Raw genomic sequence first — 16,718 nt, forward strand, 5'->3', positions numbered from 1 at the left:
AGCTGTGAATTAACAGCTTTCATCAGTCTTTAGCTTAATAGTAAGCACTTAAAAATGTACATCACTTAGGAATTCCTATTACTTCAACTCTATAAAGTTCCTTTCCAGCAAGGACATTTGCACTTTATGAGGAGGAACTAAGTCTTCTTATATATCCTTTTATTCGTTTATTAATTTATATGTTTGTTCATTGAAAAAATTAAAAATCAATTGGGCACCTATAATAAGGCAAACATTGTCCCTAACCCAAAGATGACTAATAATAGCTCCTATTATGCACTATAAATAAAACAGAGTTAATCCTCACAACAACCCTCTAAGGTGGGTTGTTTTTTATCTCCATTTCACCGGTGAGAAGTAGTTGTTAGTTTGGTGGATTCCCAATCTTAAAGACACAACTCTTACAAAATTTCAAAGAACAACAAGCATTAAGAAAATAATGCATGCTTTTATATTGGATAGGAAGCAGCTAGATGTTATAGGTTCTAGTAGAAAGAGAACTTAAGGTAGTATAGCATGGGGAGCCAAGGGCACTGGTTTACGAGTCACACTGCACAGGATCAAATCTCAGATACTGCCTCTGTCTTTTCTGTGAGTCTTTGGGTAAACTACCTAACCTCTGGCCTTCAGGTGCCTCATCTATCAAATGGGGATAATCATAGGGCCTGTCCCCTTGTGCCACTATGAGGGTTAAGTGAGATGGTGCAAGTGAAAGCTCAGTACAGGGCCTGGCAGATGGGGCACTCAATTAATATTGCCTCTTTCTATGAGGAAGAGTTGGACTCCAGGCCTAGCTCCTTCACATATCTGTTTTTCATCATGGACAAGTGACATATCCTCTTGGTTTCCTTGGGCAGCTTGTTGGGGCTGAATGACCTCTGAGATGCCTTCTAGATCTGAAGTCCTAGAGGCTTATGGTTCTATGGCTGTGTGGGAAAAGGAGGGCCCCAGAGCTGGAGAAGGGGAGTTATTGATAAAAAGTACCCACTGAGAGACCAACAGTACTGTTGATGCCCTTGTAGTAGCAAGCTGTAAAGCACTGTGTTGGTTTCCCAATCTCACCAGGAGTTGGACATTATGTTTGGGTAATGGATAAGTAAATATACTATCCCAAGAAAAACAAATATTAGACAGGGAAAAGAGAATCAGAACTGTCTCTGGTACTTTCCCGTCAGATTTCTGGAGCCTTGTCAACCTTCCCAAATGGGCCCAGATGCAATCTTCAGAACTCTGACAGCATGTACAGCCATCCCAGGATTATTTTTAGGGGATCTGGGCTCCTGTCTATTGGCTGCTTCAATGCAGCTAATTTTGCAACACAGCTGACAATTAGGTCTGATTCATTAAATAAAAGAAGCTTAAGGCCTTCAGTTGTTTCTTCTAAGACCTTGAGGGTGTCAGGATCAGAATGGAACTTAGAAAGTTTCTTGTTCTTTGGTGCTAGCAGTGCCCAGATTTGTGGAGTCAGTGGGACTGTTATGGAAAAAGAAATCAGAGGGTTTAGAGATGTTGTAGGGTACATTTTTTTTTTTTGTCAAGAAAGTATGAACAATCCATCAACAAACACCAAAAACAGCAACCCAAATACTATCTACTATCCCCATCACTTATAAAAGCAAATATATTTTTAACACCAGAACTACTGGAAAGACATATCTTCAGAATAAAGGCAAGGTTTTCTTTTTACCTAAATAAATTTAACATTATGAAAACTCACTACATTGCTTTTATCATTTTTAAAATCTCATGCCAAGTTTAAAATTTCCAATTTTTGTGTATGAAGGAGAATTTGAGAACCAGTGTTCCAAAATCTTACTCTGATTTTGCAGATCCGAACACTGAGACTGGAAGGCAGGGATTGGTGACTTCATCTGCAAATGGTCTTTTGGGGCATCGGGTTGGTATGAGAGACTTATGCGAAAGAAAGCCTGGTACCATCAAAATCAGATGCATGGATTGGCCTGTTGCCTGTTTGCTACAGGGAGGGATGAGGGAAAGGGGCATAACAAAAATTACTTTGGTCTAAGAATCTGACATCTGCATTCCAGAGAAATTTACCAGCTGTTTGACCTTGGATAAGACACTGAAGCCACTGTATGTGGGTTTCAATTCCTCATATGTGACAAGTGCCAAAATAATCTATCTTGTCCTTAATACACAACAGAGTAAGCTTGGCCATTACTTAACAATGACAATGACAACTGACACCTGGAAGTAGCCTTCTCAATGTTCAACATGCTGCTCCTTATCTTTTTTCGTTGAGCTTCACAATAAAACTCTGAACATGGCAGAGCAGGTAAAGTCACGTCTGTTTTACAGATACAGAAATCTCAGTGGAGAGAGGGGAAGCTTCCTGTGCTACAGAGGAGCTAGCTAACAGTAACAACCTGGGCTGGATGTCACCCTCACCAACTCTGAATCTGTGATCTTTCCCTGAAAACAGAGGTGAAAGCACTTTGGCAAAAATCTAAGTGGGGACAGGAGCTAATAGTCATTGAGCATGTACTATGTGCCAGGCAATGTACTAAATGCATTACACCTATCTCAGTCTTCAGGACCACTTTCTAAGTCACGTGTCATCTTACGGATGGGAACAGCAGGCTTGAGGGAAAGGCCACACGGCAAGTAAGAGGCAGAAGAAGAATTCAAACCCATGTTTGTCTGATTGTGGGGCTCCATGCTCTCTCTTGGCAAAACTGCAGGAATTATGGCAAAGTCCAGAATGGTAGGTCTCCTGACAAAAGTGTGTTTTAGAAGGAGATTGTGTAAAATAGTTTATTACTCGTCTGAGGCAGACATTGGATAATGATGTGATGATGTTCACGTCCAGGGTTTGTTATTCTTCCAACAAAATGTGGAGCTGGTAGCCTCCTTGAAACTCTTTGGATCCCAAATACATGGTTGTATATACGCATATATATTATATAAAATTATTTTATACAAAAAAATAAAATGTATGTAATATATATAATACATTAAAGGCCTGGATTCTTATCTGTCAAGGTCTGTCAATTTGCAGACACATTTTTCTGATCAAATACTATGAGCTGTCAGATGACTTGACAGTAATATCTGAATAACTTATTTGTACCAGAAACTACCTTGAAAAGATCACATAAAGGAAGACAGACTGCTTTGGAAAAAAATATTCAAAAAGAAAAATAAAGTAGGGTGAGGATCTTCTTGAAAATTTTATTGAGTTGGCCTTATTGCAATCCTTTCCTCTTGTCTTGATGACTTTGACATTATCAAAATCTTGGAAAATTCCCAAGAGTTTATGAAACTGCACATACAGACAATAGACAAAAATTAGGAGATGAATGCACCAAATTATCAAAGATGGTTATATTGTTCACAGGGTAGAATCACAGGGATGTATACTTTGCATTGTGTACATCTTTGATGTTTGAATTTTATGTAATGAACATGTATAACTTTAATAAGCAGAAAAACTCAATACAAATGAAAAAGACTCTCAAAGCAAAAACATTAGTGCTATCAGTGTACTTTTCTAAAAAGTTAGAAATCCCAAAAAACTTTATAGTATTTTATCTAATTGTAATCACGTAAGTAGTACGTGAATATATTGTCCTAGTAAAAATGAAACTGTAGATAAGGTTGAAGTTCCCTAGGATGGCCTCTTCTCGTCAGACACACAGCACCCTGGAAGCCTGGTCTTCCTGCCCTCTCCGTGGAGGCTGCTATGCATTCACATGTGATTTTCCCTTGCCAGATTCTGAGCATCCTGAGGGGAAGGACTGGTTTTGTCTTTTCAGTCTTGCGCAGTACCTGAAAAAGTACCCTTTCTCTTTCTCTGGGTCAGCAGGGTTTACTGTGACACCAGAAATGCACCTTAATCACATCTGCCAATGGCCTTTGGATGGCCGTTTTTGTTCATCTTGGCATCTTTGATAAAAAATATCAGAACCATAATAGGAAATGGAATAGCTATGTGTAACTGATACCAACCACCACTGATGCAACAATAAAAGGAAATGGTATACATGTTTTCCCCCAGTCCCTAGCCCTCCAGCTAAAACCAACCCTCCTATTAGGAGGATCCCTCAGTTTCCACTTCCTCCTCCGCCCCCGTCAGTCTCCTAGCTAGTAGCTGTTCAGTAGCTGAAATTTATACTAAGGTTGCTTGACAAGTCCCTGCCTGTCTTTCTAGCCTCATCTCCACCACTTCCTACCCTGCACTTTATCCTCTAGCAATCTCTTCTGGTTTCTTCACAAATACAGAGTAACATCTTTATGCTTGTTTTCTCCTCTGCATAAAATATCCTGCTCTGATTTCTTTGCCTTGCTAATTAGTGTATAAATTATGTATAATAAAATCACCTTCTTGACAAATTCAAACCCATGTCTGTCTGACTGTGGGGCTTCATGCCCTCTCTCTACAAAACTGTAATAATAAAACAACCACCATAATAAAAATATAAATCAGCTATGTAATCCCCCAAATCACCCCACCCCATGCTCCATTGCTATCCATATGCTTACTCCATTCCCAGCCCTCCTTGCAGCTACTTATCTGTTTTCTGCCTCTGTAATTGTACCTTTTATAGGATGTCTTGTAAATGGAGTCATAAAATACCTAGCATTTTGTATCTGGTTTCTTTCACTTGGCATACTGCACTTGAGATTCATTGGTGTTGCACGTAAGAGTGGATAATCCTATTTTTATTGCTGAACAGTATTCTATTGTATTATTTATATCATTTTTAAGACTCAGCTTAAGAGTCACTTTCTTCAAGAAGTCTTCTCTCATCTAAAGGTCATGTGTTACCTCTGTGTTTCCATGGCCCCCAGACTTACCTTCCTCATAACACATGGCACATTTTACATTCCTTACCTATTAATGAATACCTAACTAGACTTAATTCCAGGAAGGGAGGAGGTGTGTTTTCATCATTCTCATATTCCTAACACATAGCAGCATGTACAATACCTAGTAGGTGCTTAAATGCAAGTATTAATGTATTTCCCATAGAGTGAGGCAGCCTTAACAGAGGACATTTTGATGCTCTAAAAATGAACTCCCACCGATGTGGTCTTATTTAATTCTCATTACAGCTCTGTGAAGTTGGCACTAACATACACACTTTACACAGCAGGAAATTAAGATGTCTATTTGAACCCAAAGCCCACTCTGAAGTACAGCGTGATAATGATATTACTTCGTAACTCAAGTGGCTTTAGGACTATGAATCTGTGTTTTGATAGCAAATGTCCATCTCCTTTAATCTGTTTTCTAGCTTAGCTCTGATCAAGACAGCTGGAAAATGAAGGTACTGTCTTGTTGGCTAAAAACAAAGCTCTTAAGTTAGGTTGATCAAGATGGTGGTGGGATGGCCCAGCAGATTACTGGTTTTTGAGAACATGCTAATTCATCCCAGATGGCCAGGGTTGGCTGGGAAACTGCAGGCCATCATTACTGCATGCATGAGCACTGAAGCTGCAGCTGGATGGCACCTGGCCACGTGCAAGGGGAAGCAATGATAGGGGCGTGGAAAGCAGATAAAAAGGACTGGGGTTTGATTGTCACTCAACCAGCCGTCTCTCAATTGAGAAAATTAATCTGACAAACCTCCTGCATGAGACCTGTAAATAGCTAACATCAGTCCCCAGAATGTGAGAGGGTCAGGGTCCATGCCTAGGGACAGGATGCAGAATGGTAATGACATTGGGGAAGAAGGCTGAATCCTTCTCTTTCCTTATTCCATATGCAGTCCCTCACTCCTGCAAAAGACGAGGAGGAAATTAAATTCAACTCACATGGGCCAGTCGATCAAATCTGGCAAAGAGCTCGTTGAGCATCCTGACCAGCTCCTGAGCAGACAAGGTCGTGGAGAGGTTGGTAAATCCTTTAACATCTGCAAAAAGAATACTAAACACAGGGAAGAGGGTGGGGGTGGGGGGAGGAAGTATATTAATATTTTAGTCCATCTTGGGATACACATCAACACCATCCCAGCAGATAAACTGTCTTTGTGGTCTGAGATTTTAGCTCTTGCTGCCATGAGAGTCAGGAGGAATGTCTCAGTATTTAATAAATATCTCAGCAGAGAGTCCACTCAGGAGCTCAGGAAGGACAAGGGGACAACAGGAAGCCCTTTTTTCCTGTGCAGGGCTGTGTAGAGTGGGCAATGCAAACAATCCAAAAGAATTTGTCACCATGAAGATATCAATTTCTTGTGAAAAGCAAGATGAAACTTTATGAATTATCTCCATATTTTCACAATGAACAGCAATGCACATGCAATGAACACAGAGTAAAATGGTCACAAGGGGCAGGGGCAGAACCGAAAACCTCATCATCTTGAACCCAATGACAGGTACCGTACCCAAAATGGCAGGTAAATAGGCATTTCTCAAAAATTATGACAATAGGTGGCAAATCTGGGAGACCTCAGGCAGAATAATTAATTTCCCAATACTCTCACATTACTAAAGATTTCAGTTAGGTGAGGTCTTGTTCTATGTATATGGCCTGGTATAAGGGACAGGGCAGCTTCCCAAAGCCTTCTAAAAGCCAGGTTACTCTCTTGGTTAAGCCATCCAGTTACTCTGTGGGGCAAGCATAGTTCTCTCCATTCAGCCCATGAGGAAACTGAGGCTCAGAGATGCAAGGAGACTTGCCCAGCATCTCACTAGTGGCACATGGCATAGCTGGGATTGTCCATTTGGTTGAATTGCACTGAGGGATATTGCTCCAATTATCTTACCATGTCATCTCAGGGACCTCTGAAAGGAAAGATAGGACACAAAACAGGATACCATATTTGATCATTTCTCATTTTTCATCCTCTCTGAAAGTGAGATGTGTCTTACAATTGATCACTTTAGCTGTGTCGAGCTTTTTACATCTTTTCTTAGTGTTGCCTAAAATAATGACAAGTCTTACAATCAGCCTATGAGTGTAATTTAGTTTTAATGAAATAGGTAATTGGGCTAGAAGACATCGTGGAATGTGTTGACTTACATCAGTCACCACATTTATTCAATAATTCTTAAAATTCATCTCCTTTACAAACCCTTTTAAGAATTTGACATAGACTATGGATTATCTCTCCCAAAAATGTACGAGCATTCAAAATTTTGCACCTCACTTAAAGGGATTTTTACCTTCCGCAAAGTCCATTCATGAAATCATTAGGAATCCTTAGATCTATTGCTTTAGTTAATTATTGAATGGCTCATTCTTTCAGCAAATATTTATATATTTACTATGTGTTCAGCTAGGCACTGGACTAGAAAGTTAGATTAAATGATATATAAGACCTAGTGCCTTTCCTCAAGATGCTGAGTCTGAGGAATGGAGCTGGAAAGACAAAAAGAAAAATGGAAACAGTGCAGGGTGATGATCACTGTGATTGAAGGACATATTGGGGGGTGACCAGCCACAGAGGGATCAGGAGTCTCCCAGTAGAGAAAAGTCTCAGCTGGTTCTTGAAGAATGTGATGAGCGAAGTGATTGGGAGGATGGATGCTCTGAGCAGAGAGAACAGTACATTCTAGGGTCTGGTGGAAGAATAAGTGTATGTATCAAGGTTCTGCAGTAATTCAAGGGCAGCCAGTCAGAAGGTATCACTGAGCAAGGAGGCTAGAAAGAAGAGAGAGATGAGGTCAGAAATACAGGTGGGGCAATGATGGAGAAGGGGCTGGTAAGCCAGGATGAAGAATGTAGACTTTGTCCTGAAAGTGATGGAAAGCTAGTGAATGGGATTTAAGCATGGACATGATGCCAATAGATTTTCAGTTTACTAAGCTACCTTTGGCAGAGTGACTATACTGCCATTGTCTTCTACAGTTCCGTGGTGGCAGAACATATGGTCATATGCACAGAATTTGAGTCTAGATAGATCTGGGTTCAAATCTTAGCTCACCACTTAGGAATTCTATGACCTTGGGCAACTTCCTGAACTTCTGTAAGCCCTAGCTCTGTAAACTGGAGATAACTGGCATACTTGCCTCATTAGTGGGTAGTGTTTAGCACATCACCTGGCAATTGCCAGCATAGTAAATGTTCCTTAAACGTGTTAGCTTTTGTTATCATCATTTTACAAAATTATACTATAATTGCATGTTATATTTGAGAGAGAAAGAGAAGAGAGAGGTAACAGAGGTAGAAAATAATATGGCCATTCATTTGATTATGTATTACTTGTAGCTAAAAGCATTCCTAACTGTTGATGAAGCCTGAACTGCCAGGCAGCAGCAACACTTACAGAGTATTCACTGTGGACTTGGTAATGCTCTGAGAGCCCTACATGTATTCACTCATTTATTCCATGTAACTTATGAGGGAGAACCTATCATGTTCTTCTCCATTTTATGGAACTGAGGCCTACGTATCTTGCCTATAATCATGAAGAGCTAGAATTTGAACCAGGAAGCCTGGCTCTGGCATCCATCCTCTTTATTGCTCAGCTATGCTATTTTTGAAGAAAGAAAAGTCATTGCTATGACAGGTGGGAAGTGGACAGGCTCTTAGATCACTTGGTTTAACACATTCCCTTTATGAATCCATAAGCCCAAAGCTACTAGTATCCATCTGTCTATGGCAAGAATGGTTTACCAATTTATTTATTCATTCAACAGCTTATTAATTAAATGACTACTATACACCAGGCAGTGGAGATAAAGTAGTGAGCAGATGATAGCATCATCCCAGCCTTTATAAAGCTCACAGCCTATTGAAAGAACAAATGGATTCCCTGAGAGCTAAGGTCATAAAAGTTTCAGATGTCTTCAGTGTTCCAATATCATCAAACTTCTCCAGGTCTTTCGATCCCACCATACATTATGCACCTGTATCTTTGTACATGCTATGCCTGCTCCCTGGTATAGATTTTTCCCCCTTTTGCTACCTGTTAAAATCTGACTTGTCCTTCAGAGCCCCACTCAGGTGTTAAAATCATGTTAAGAGTCTATACCCCTCTGGAGACTTCCCCAAGCATAGCCAGTTATCCCCAACTCAAGCTTCTCGCCCTGTTGGTGCCCCTCTCTGTCATAACACTTAACTCTCAATAGCACAATCATATGTGGCTAAGTGTGCTCCATCTATTAGCTGAAGAACAAGAATGAAGTCACCTCTGCATCCCACCTGCCCAGCACACAGTTGGCCCTATTACATGTTTCCTTAGTCCAATCAACAGAAACATTCAGAATTAAGTCCTCCTTCCTCAGAGCATGGTCATGGCCCCCAGTGGCATCTCATGAAATTGTTAGAAATGTAGACTCTCAAGCCACCTCTCCAGACCCACTGTACCACAATCTGCTTTAACTGAGCCGTAGATGATTTGTGTGCACATTTAAGACTCAGAAGCACTGGTTTAAGTCATAGTTGTACAATAAGGATTTATTGAATAAAAGACCAGAAGCAGAAACCAGGGCCCTGGTTCTCATTCCATTGCTTGTTCTGCCACCTCCAGGTGCTGAGCTCAGATCATCAAGTCTTTTGATTCTTGGCATAATTTGTAGCTTTCCAGGATGAATATACCAAGGGGGCCATAGTAATTTTCAACTCTAATTTAGCCAACTTTTAGCCAAATAAATTGTTTATTTGGCTAAAAATAAGTCATGTTACCTAATAGTCACTCTTCAAATAGAATCCCCAAGGAAGCTTTTGCGGAGTTCAATAGAATCATTAGGAACGTGGTCCCTGTGTAGACTCCTCTCACTAACTAAGTTTCAGATGTGTTCGGTGTTCCAATATCATAACTGTGTGTTCTTGGGAAAGTTACTTAACCTCTCTGAGCTTCCATTTTCCTTGATAATACAGCAAAGGTCATTAAAGCTACTCTGTAGGACTACCATAAGAAGACAACTTGTAAATCATTGCATAATTCTCAATAAATGAAGGGTATATAACCTCTTTGGGAAGTTTTTACGAATCTGGAAGTGCTTAACTGCCATGCGGATGGATCTAGAAAGTCATCAAGTTCTCTAGCTCCATTCAATTGCATTTTGCTTGTTCGTGAAACTCTAGTCTACAGGACAGATGTAGTGATCACACATGTTGACAGGGCTGGCTGGAAATTAACAGCCAGTCAAGAAAGTGAACAGACTGAGCAAGACTCTAAAAACGAGGATTTTTTTGATCCTTGACAATTGGTCACTAAAATATCTACCATGGCATAGGGAGAGATAAAGACAAACATGTCTCCCAGACAGACCCACAAAATGTATGTCAGCAAATGTGCAAATGTACATGAAATGGAATTGGCAGGGCCAATAGGAAATGGGAAAAAGAACCATGACAGAGAAGGATGACTGTCCACCAGATCCATGCCTCTATTTGCATAGTCAATCCACCTGTCACTAGGAAAAGCCATTGAGCCAGAGGCACTGTTCCCAGCCCACTTTGTTTCTAGGTGGGCACCTGGAATTGATTCTCCCTAATGGAATCTGAACAGAAATGACATACGTCATTTTCTGGTTAAGGTGGAAAAAAAAGTGGGTGTGAGTACTCTGCTTCCCCTTCCAATAACCAAATGCTGGGAACTTTGAGGCCCAAGGGATGGTAGTTACAAAACAAAGGAGCCTTTGTTCCTGAATCACCCACTGACCAGTAATATCAGCAGTGAACACTTGCATGAATAAACTTGATTGAGTTAAAAATCACTGAAATTGAAAGGGTATTTGAAAGAGCAGATAGCATTACCCTAATGAATACAAGAAGTGTCTTAAGTATCTGGGGGAAAAACAGGAAAGATCAATACAATCGGGTAGGTGGGATGGAGAGCGTGAATGACTTCCAGTAAAAAGCTGGTGGCCAGGTGGATCCTCAGGTGAACCTGGAGAAGTCTCAGAGGTTGATAGCTGAAGTCAATTTGAGCGTTCAAAGAGTCCAGCTTTTAGATTGGGAAACGGAGGCCCACAGGGATGAGGTGATGCAGTCGAAGTCTTGCCAAGGGTGTGGCTACCCCAGCCCACGTGGGCACACGAATGCCCCCAAGCATGGCGCCTTTAAGCATACCCTTTCCTGATGAAGGTAAACAGTGGTATGAAATGTAAGTCAAGACTTAGATGTGTACAGCACTTTTTTAGGAAAGAGTCTTCAAAATTAAAAAAAAAAAAAAAAAAAAGCCAAGGGAGAAAAAATAATGCACCAGGCAGTTTACCATGAAGAGGGTGACGGGCTTGGAAATGATTTCAAAAATGCTCCCAACACCGCAGCGGGGTTGCTTTGGGGGCTGGGGAAGCGGGTGGAGCAGCCAGTTGGCTTTGTTCTCCGACTTGGGCTAGGGACCGTCCTCCTCTGCTTTCAAGGCTCCGGTCTTATTTTAGCACCCTGCAGCCTCGCAGTGGGCAGGAGACGCCCCGCCGCCCCGAGCTGAGTTCATCTTCCCGAAACCCCCGGAGCCGCGGGCATCTCACCACGCTGCTCTGAGAATAGCCCGGGAGCAACAGGGCCGGCGGCTGGTTTCTGCATCAATTCTCCTCCCCCTAGTAACGGCTCTGAAAACGCGGAGACACGGAGAGCAGAAAACGAAATTTTAATGTACTGTGGCGTGAACTTCTGGAAAAGGGTCTCCAGCACAAGAACTCAGTTCAATGACTTAAAATAAATGGGCGGGGTTGGAGGGGTGGGGGCAGAAGAAACTAGCTGCTTAAGAGTAACGGGAGCACTGAAGAAGGATTCCTGCAGAAAGCGAGCCGCCGAACATGCTGTTTATTGCACTTAAGGCACCTGAGCATGTTGGTGTGGACGCGCTGGCTTGTTGAATTTTCCTTATTTTTCTTTTTAAAGGTATTTTTCCCTCCTTCTTTCTCCATGGTGACAGGTACTTTCATCATATGCCACATATTTTATTTATAAATTTATATGATTTGTATATATTTATAGATGAGTATGTAATTAAATATTTATTTTTTCCCCAAATATTCACGCAATTTCTGCTTTCTCTGGATCTGCATTCGTGGTCAAGCCATTTTGCCACCAGGGAAGGAATATGGAACACCACCTATGATTCTCTGCATGGACCGTGGCTCTGCCTTCACTTCTGCTGACCCCTTTGCTCAGAATTCATGTATTTGTGTTTTTCACTTGGCTGACTTCGTCTCAAATAAAGCCAAGAAGAATCATCATCTCTTCCAGGAAGGTTTCTCTACCTATCTCCCTGTCCCGCCCTCCACCTCCTTGCCCCAGGTTTTCCTCCTTTTATGATCTCTTGGCATTTGTGGCCTGCTTAATAATCAAACCCCATATTCTATTATGATTAATAGGTTCCTATTGTCTTAGAACTAGTATTGAAGAGTTCTTATTATGTGTGGGACCAATTCCTAGATCTGGGGCGCATCTCTTCCTGGAATTGCTGTTTGACAAAGGGCTGTTTTGCAAACTCAAGCATCTAAATCAGTGTAGCTCAATTCTTGGACAAGACCCTGGGAATGACCTATCCTGCTATGCCCGCTGAAGGGTTGTGTTAGAATCATGATCTCTACTGAATTTTAAAACGCGTGTTCCTGCATGCCAGGAGTAGAACACCTACAGATGCTGCTAAGTGCAAAATTGTCCTCTATCCTGCTGACATTAGGAGGAAAGGAACTATGAGAATAGGTTTGTCACTTTTGAAGTTGCTTAATGTAAGGACTCTGACTCTATGTTTGGGAAAGTTTTACCTTATGATATTTGGTGGGTGGGAGATACAGTTCCACTGTATAAGCTGAAAATGCCAGAGACTTGCTTTCCAGGCACTTAAAGAAAATGACTGGGCTCAGCCAATCAGACCCATCTGCTCCAGGCTTTAACTTGAGATGCAAAGAAGCAGCAGGAGCAGGAAGTCAGGGCAGAGCAAAGACAGCAATGTCAGTTTCTGGGGCTGCAGGAGGAATTGCAGTGGTGGCCGTGTCAGGGTTTGGGGGCTGGTTTGGGGACAGGGAATTGCAGTGGTGGCTGTGTCAGGGTTTGGGGGCTGGTTTGGGGACAGGGTTGATTGCACAAGCAATGGACTGGTCAGAGACAGTGGCAGTGGCCTCCTAACTGGCCTAAGTGCTCTGGCTTGATTTTGCCTATGCCTTTCACTCTGTGGCCTTGCTTCATTCTGGCCCATTTCCCTCATGTACTTCTCCATTCTTCCCTAACTATTCTGTAATCCATGACATAACCTTTCAATACGTTTATTATTATTATTTTTTGAGATAGAGTCTTGCTCTGTTGCCAGGCTGGAGTTCAGTGGTGCGATCTCAGTTCACTGCAACCTCCACCTCCCGGGTTCAAGCAATTCTCCTGCCTTAGTCTCCTGAGTAGCTGGGACTACAGGCATGCACCACCATACTCAGCTAATTTTTGTATTTTTGGTAGAGATGGGGTTTCACCTTGTTGGCCAGGATGGTCTCGATCTCTTGACCTCGTGATCCGCCCACCTTGGCCTCCCAAAGTGCTGGGATTACAGGCGCGAGCGACCGTGCCCGGCCAGTACATTTCTTTTAAATCAGTCATGGTTGGATTCTTTTGACTGAAACTAGGAAACATGTCTGAAATGAACTACAATGTACCGAATGCTCTACTACTTGCTTAACTCTGCCTGTTTTATATTTTGTATTAATATTCACTTATATGATCCACATAAAACTCTGCAAAGTGGCTAAGAAGATGCTTATTTTACAGGGAAGAATTTTGAGATTCAGGTAAATAAATTTCCCAAGATCACAAACAAGGAATAGGCAGAATTGGGATTTTAAAGCTTGTGTGCCTCACCATGGAGTTCACCCTTTGATTTTCAGTACATGCCATGTTGTCCAGTGTTGTGCTGGGCACATAGAGGGCACTGATGCATGGATGGGGGAGTAAGTGGGAAGATACATGGATGGATGGATAGATGGATGGGTGGATGGATAGATGGATGGTTGGCCAAAAATAAGTTTGCAAAGGAAAATAAACTGTCATCCTCTTTGTACTGTTTTAAACACACTTATGAGTAATATAAGGAGGGGATGTATGTGATCACACCTGAAACCCCCAGATTACATTCTGGGATTATTTTTCTTATCATAGTCTAAAAGGTGTTTGCCTTTCCCACTCAAAATGTAAAGACAGACACGCCTACTGTAGGAGAGCTAGGCAGTAAGTCAACCAGCAAATATAATTTTATCTGTGACATTCTTCTCTAGCCTTAATTTGGAAATGTAGAACTCTCTGATGAATAATCACTAGGTAATGAATTAATCAACCAGATGAGGAAAGGTGCTGACATTCAAGCAGACGGAAGTCACGGAAGTGCAATGAGAGCACCCAAACACACATGGATCATGCAAGAGCCGGGGCAAGGGTGTTGTGTTTCTCACCTGACGTTCTCATAGCGATGGATGTAGATCCGATGGAACTGGTGCTGCAGGTGCTCATCTTCCACATTGGTCATGTCGTTGATCATTTCCAGGACAACAAACCGGGGGAGCACAGAAAGCACGAGCCGCTCCTGGAACAAATGAAGAGGGACGGTCCTGTTAGGCTGACCAGCGAGTCTCAGATGGGAGGGTGGAGGGTGGAGAAGTCATGGGGCTTTTGGATGAACTCCCTTTGGGATTGCTAATTTCATACCATTCTATGAATACAACAAATATTTATTGAGTACTTATTATTTGCCAGGCACTCTGCTGGTGTTGGATATATAGTGGTGAACCAAATGGATGTGGTTCTGACTCTGGTGGAGCTTACATTCTAATAAGGAAGATACATTAAGTATTACATACCCAAAGATACCTACACACATTTACAAAATGTGATGAATGCCATGCAAAAACAGGTCATGATGAGAGAGTACAATGGTTGATGACAGCGATGCATATCAGGGATTAAGAATGGCCTTACCAAGGAACTGATATTTAAAATTGAGACCTGAAAATTTGGAAGGAGTCTGTCCTGTGTAGTGCAATGAGAAATCCAGGAATTAAAAATAATAACTACAAATATCCTGAGGCAGAAATGAGCAATGGTGTGGCTGGAGGGTGGTGATAGCAATGAGGTTGGAGGTGTAGCTAGATCTTGCAGGTGAGCATACAATGTTTGTGTTTAATTCCAACTACAACTGAAAGCCACTAAATGGTACTAAGCAGCAGAGTGACATAATTGGATTTATGTTTTAAAAGATCACTTTGGCTGGGATTTGGAGAATGTGTTCTGGGGAGGAGCCAAGGCTGGAGGCAGAGGGACCAGGTGGGGGAAGCTCCTGGAGTGTCCAGGTGAGATAAGATTCATAGAACTGGCAACCGAGATGGCAGGAAAGAAAAAGGGTGTGCCCACCATGATAGCTAGTTTTGACTTTAGTTGCCTGGGAGAGTGAGCTACACTTACAGAAACAGCGAACATACAAAAGAAACCAGGCTTACAAGGCACTAGCTCTTTATCAAAGATGAGAGGAAGTGAGACGCACGCAGCCTGAAAGTGGGTTCCTAACACCAAACAATAATATTTCTATTGTGATCACCACTGTAGACAAAAGGAAAGTAATGGGTTAACTAGCAACATGAATTAAATTCTAAAAAGTCTTTGTGTTGTGGAAACTAGGCAAGAGGCTGGCTTCTGACACATGGTTTACTTGGTTACGTGGTTTACTGTGATAGATGAAGTTTAATACTTTTAGTTGAATAATAGAAAATAGGGTAATTATCATTGATATGATAATAATAGGTCATGTGGAATTATCTAGTTGAGGCATATCACTATAGAGAGATAAAATTTTTCTTGGTCTATGGTTTACTATAGTGTCAAACAGTTTAAGACAGGCACGTTCTAATCATCACAGTTCCTCATATCTTTGTAGTTATTTATGGGTATTAAGCATTGTCACCATTCATTCTTTCATGTGTTTCTCTCGAAACCCTGACAATCAGCTTGCAGAAATAATCATTTTCATATAATGGACAGAATGAGTCCAGGAGAGATTAAGTTACTTGCACAACCTGAACAGTTAATCAAGCGGCAGTTGCAGGGTACGGTCCTTTCCCTTGTTATTCCTAGCTGGGATTCTTGGTGAGATGGGAAAAGTCTTGGATTGAGTCTGATGAAGAAGTTTAGATTCCAACTCTATCATTGGATATCCATTAGGTAAACTATCTCATCTTTCTGTGCCTTAGTTCCCTAATTTGGCAAATATTAATAGCAATAATATCATCTACTTCAAAGAGTTGCTGTGAGAATTCAATGCAATAAAATATGTGAGGGGCCTGGCATCAAGTCCTTCTCCCTCCTCTCACCTCTACTTCACTCTGCCTCTCATGCAAAAGGCTTTATTAATGAAATGCCCATTGAATGACATATGATGAAGCCCTTTCTTCTCTTGAGTGCTATCCCATCACGGGACTAAGAGGCATGCTTTCTGCAAATGCCCCAACATCATGTCCATTTTGTGTTCATTTGTGCTATTTGTCAACTTCCCAGGTACTTGTGGCCCTGCTCTCTCAATTGCTGCTGGGTGGGAGTAGGTGCTAATTACAGCTGTGAGGGGCACTAGTGCTCTGTCAATGGCTGGGGATGTTTAATTAAGATGCCACTGCATCTGCACTTGTAAGTGATAGAGCTGTAATACACAATCCACACACACTCCAGGACCCCACGGTCAGTTTGTAAAAGTGTTTGATTGCAAATCATCCTTACACTAGTGTTGTATTACAGTGATGTTTTAATAACCAGAGTGAGAAAAATGGAAGAACTTATGTTAGGAAGAGAATGGCACAGGAGATAAAAAGGTGGTGATGCAGCACATATAATG

At 41.6% G+C, this 16,718-nt stretch overlaps 1 protein-coding gene across 5 annotated transcripts in view; it reads right to left on the minus strand.

The window, feature by feature from the left end:
* Positions 1–16,718, minus strand: part of ADCY8 (adenylate cyclase 8) — a 260,609-nt gene that overhangs the window by 157,272 nt on the left and 86,619 nt on the right. For all 5 annotated transcript variants that reach the window (XM_017013006.2, XM_006716501.4, XM_005250769.4 and 2 more), the window contains exons 3-4: positions 14,296–14,426; positions 5,779–5,890 (exon numbers count right to left, since the gene is read on the minus strand). In XM_017013006.2, coding sequence (XP_016868495.1) covers positions 5,779–5,890; positions 14,296–14,426 — 243 coding nt within the window. The remainder of the gene's footprint in view (positions 1–5,778; positions 5,891–14,295; positions 14,427–16,718) is intronic.

Source organism: Homo sapiens, chromosome 8, assembly GCF_000001405.40.
Source record: "Homo sapiens chromosome 8, GRCh38.p14 Primary Assembly".
NCBI classification, from domain to species: domain Eukaryota; kingdom Metazoa; phylum Chordata; class Mammalia; order Primates; family Hominidae; genus Homo; species Homo sapiens.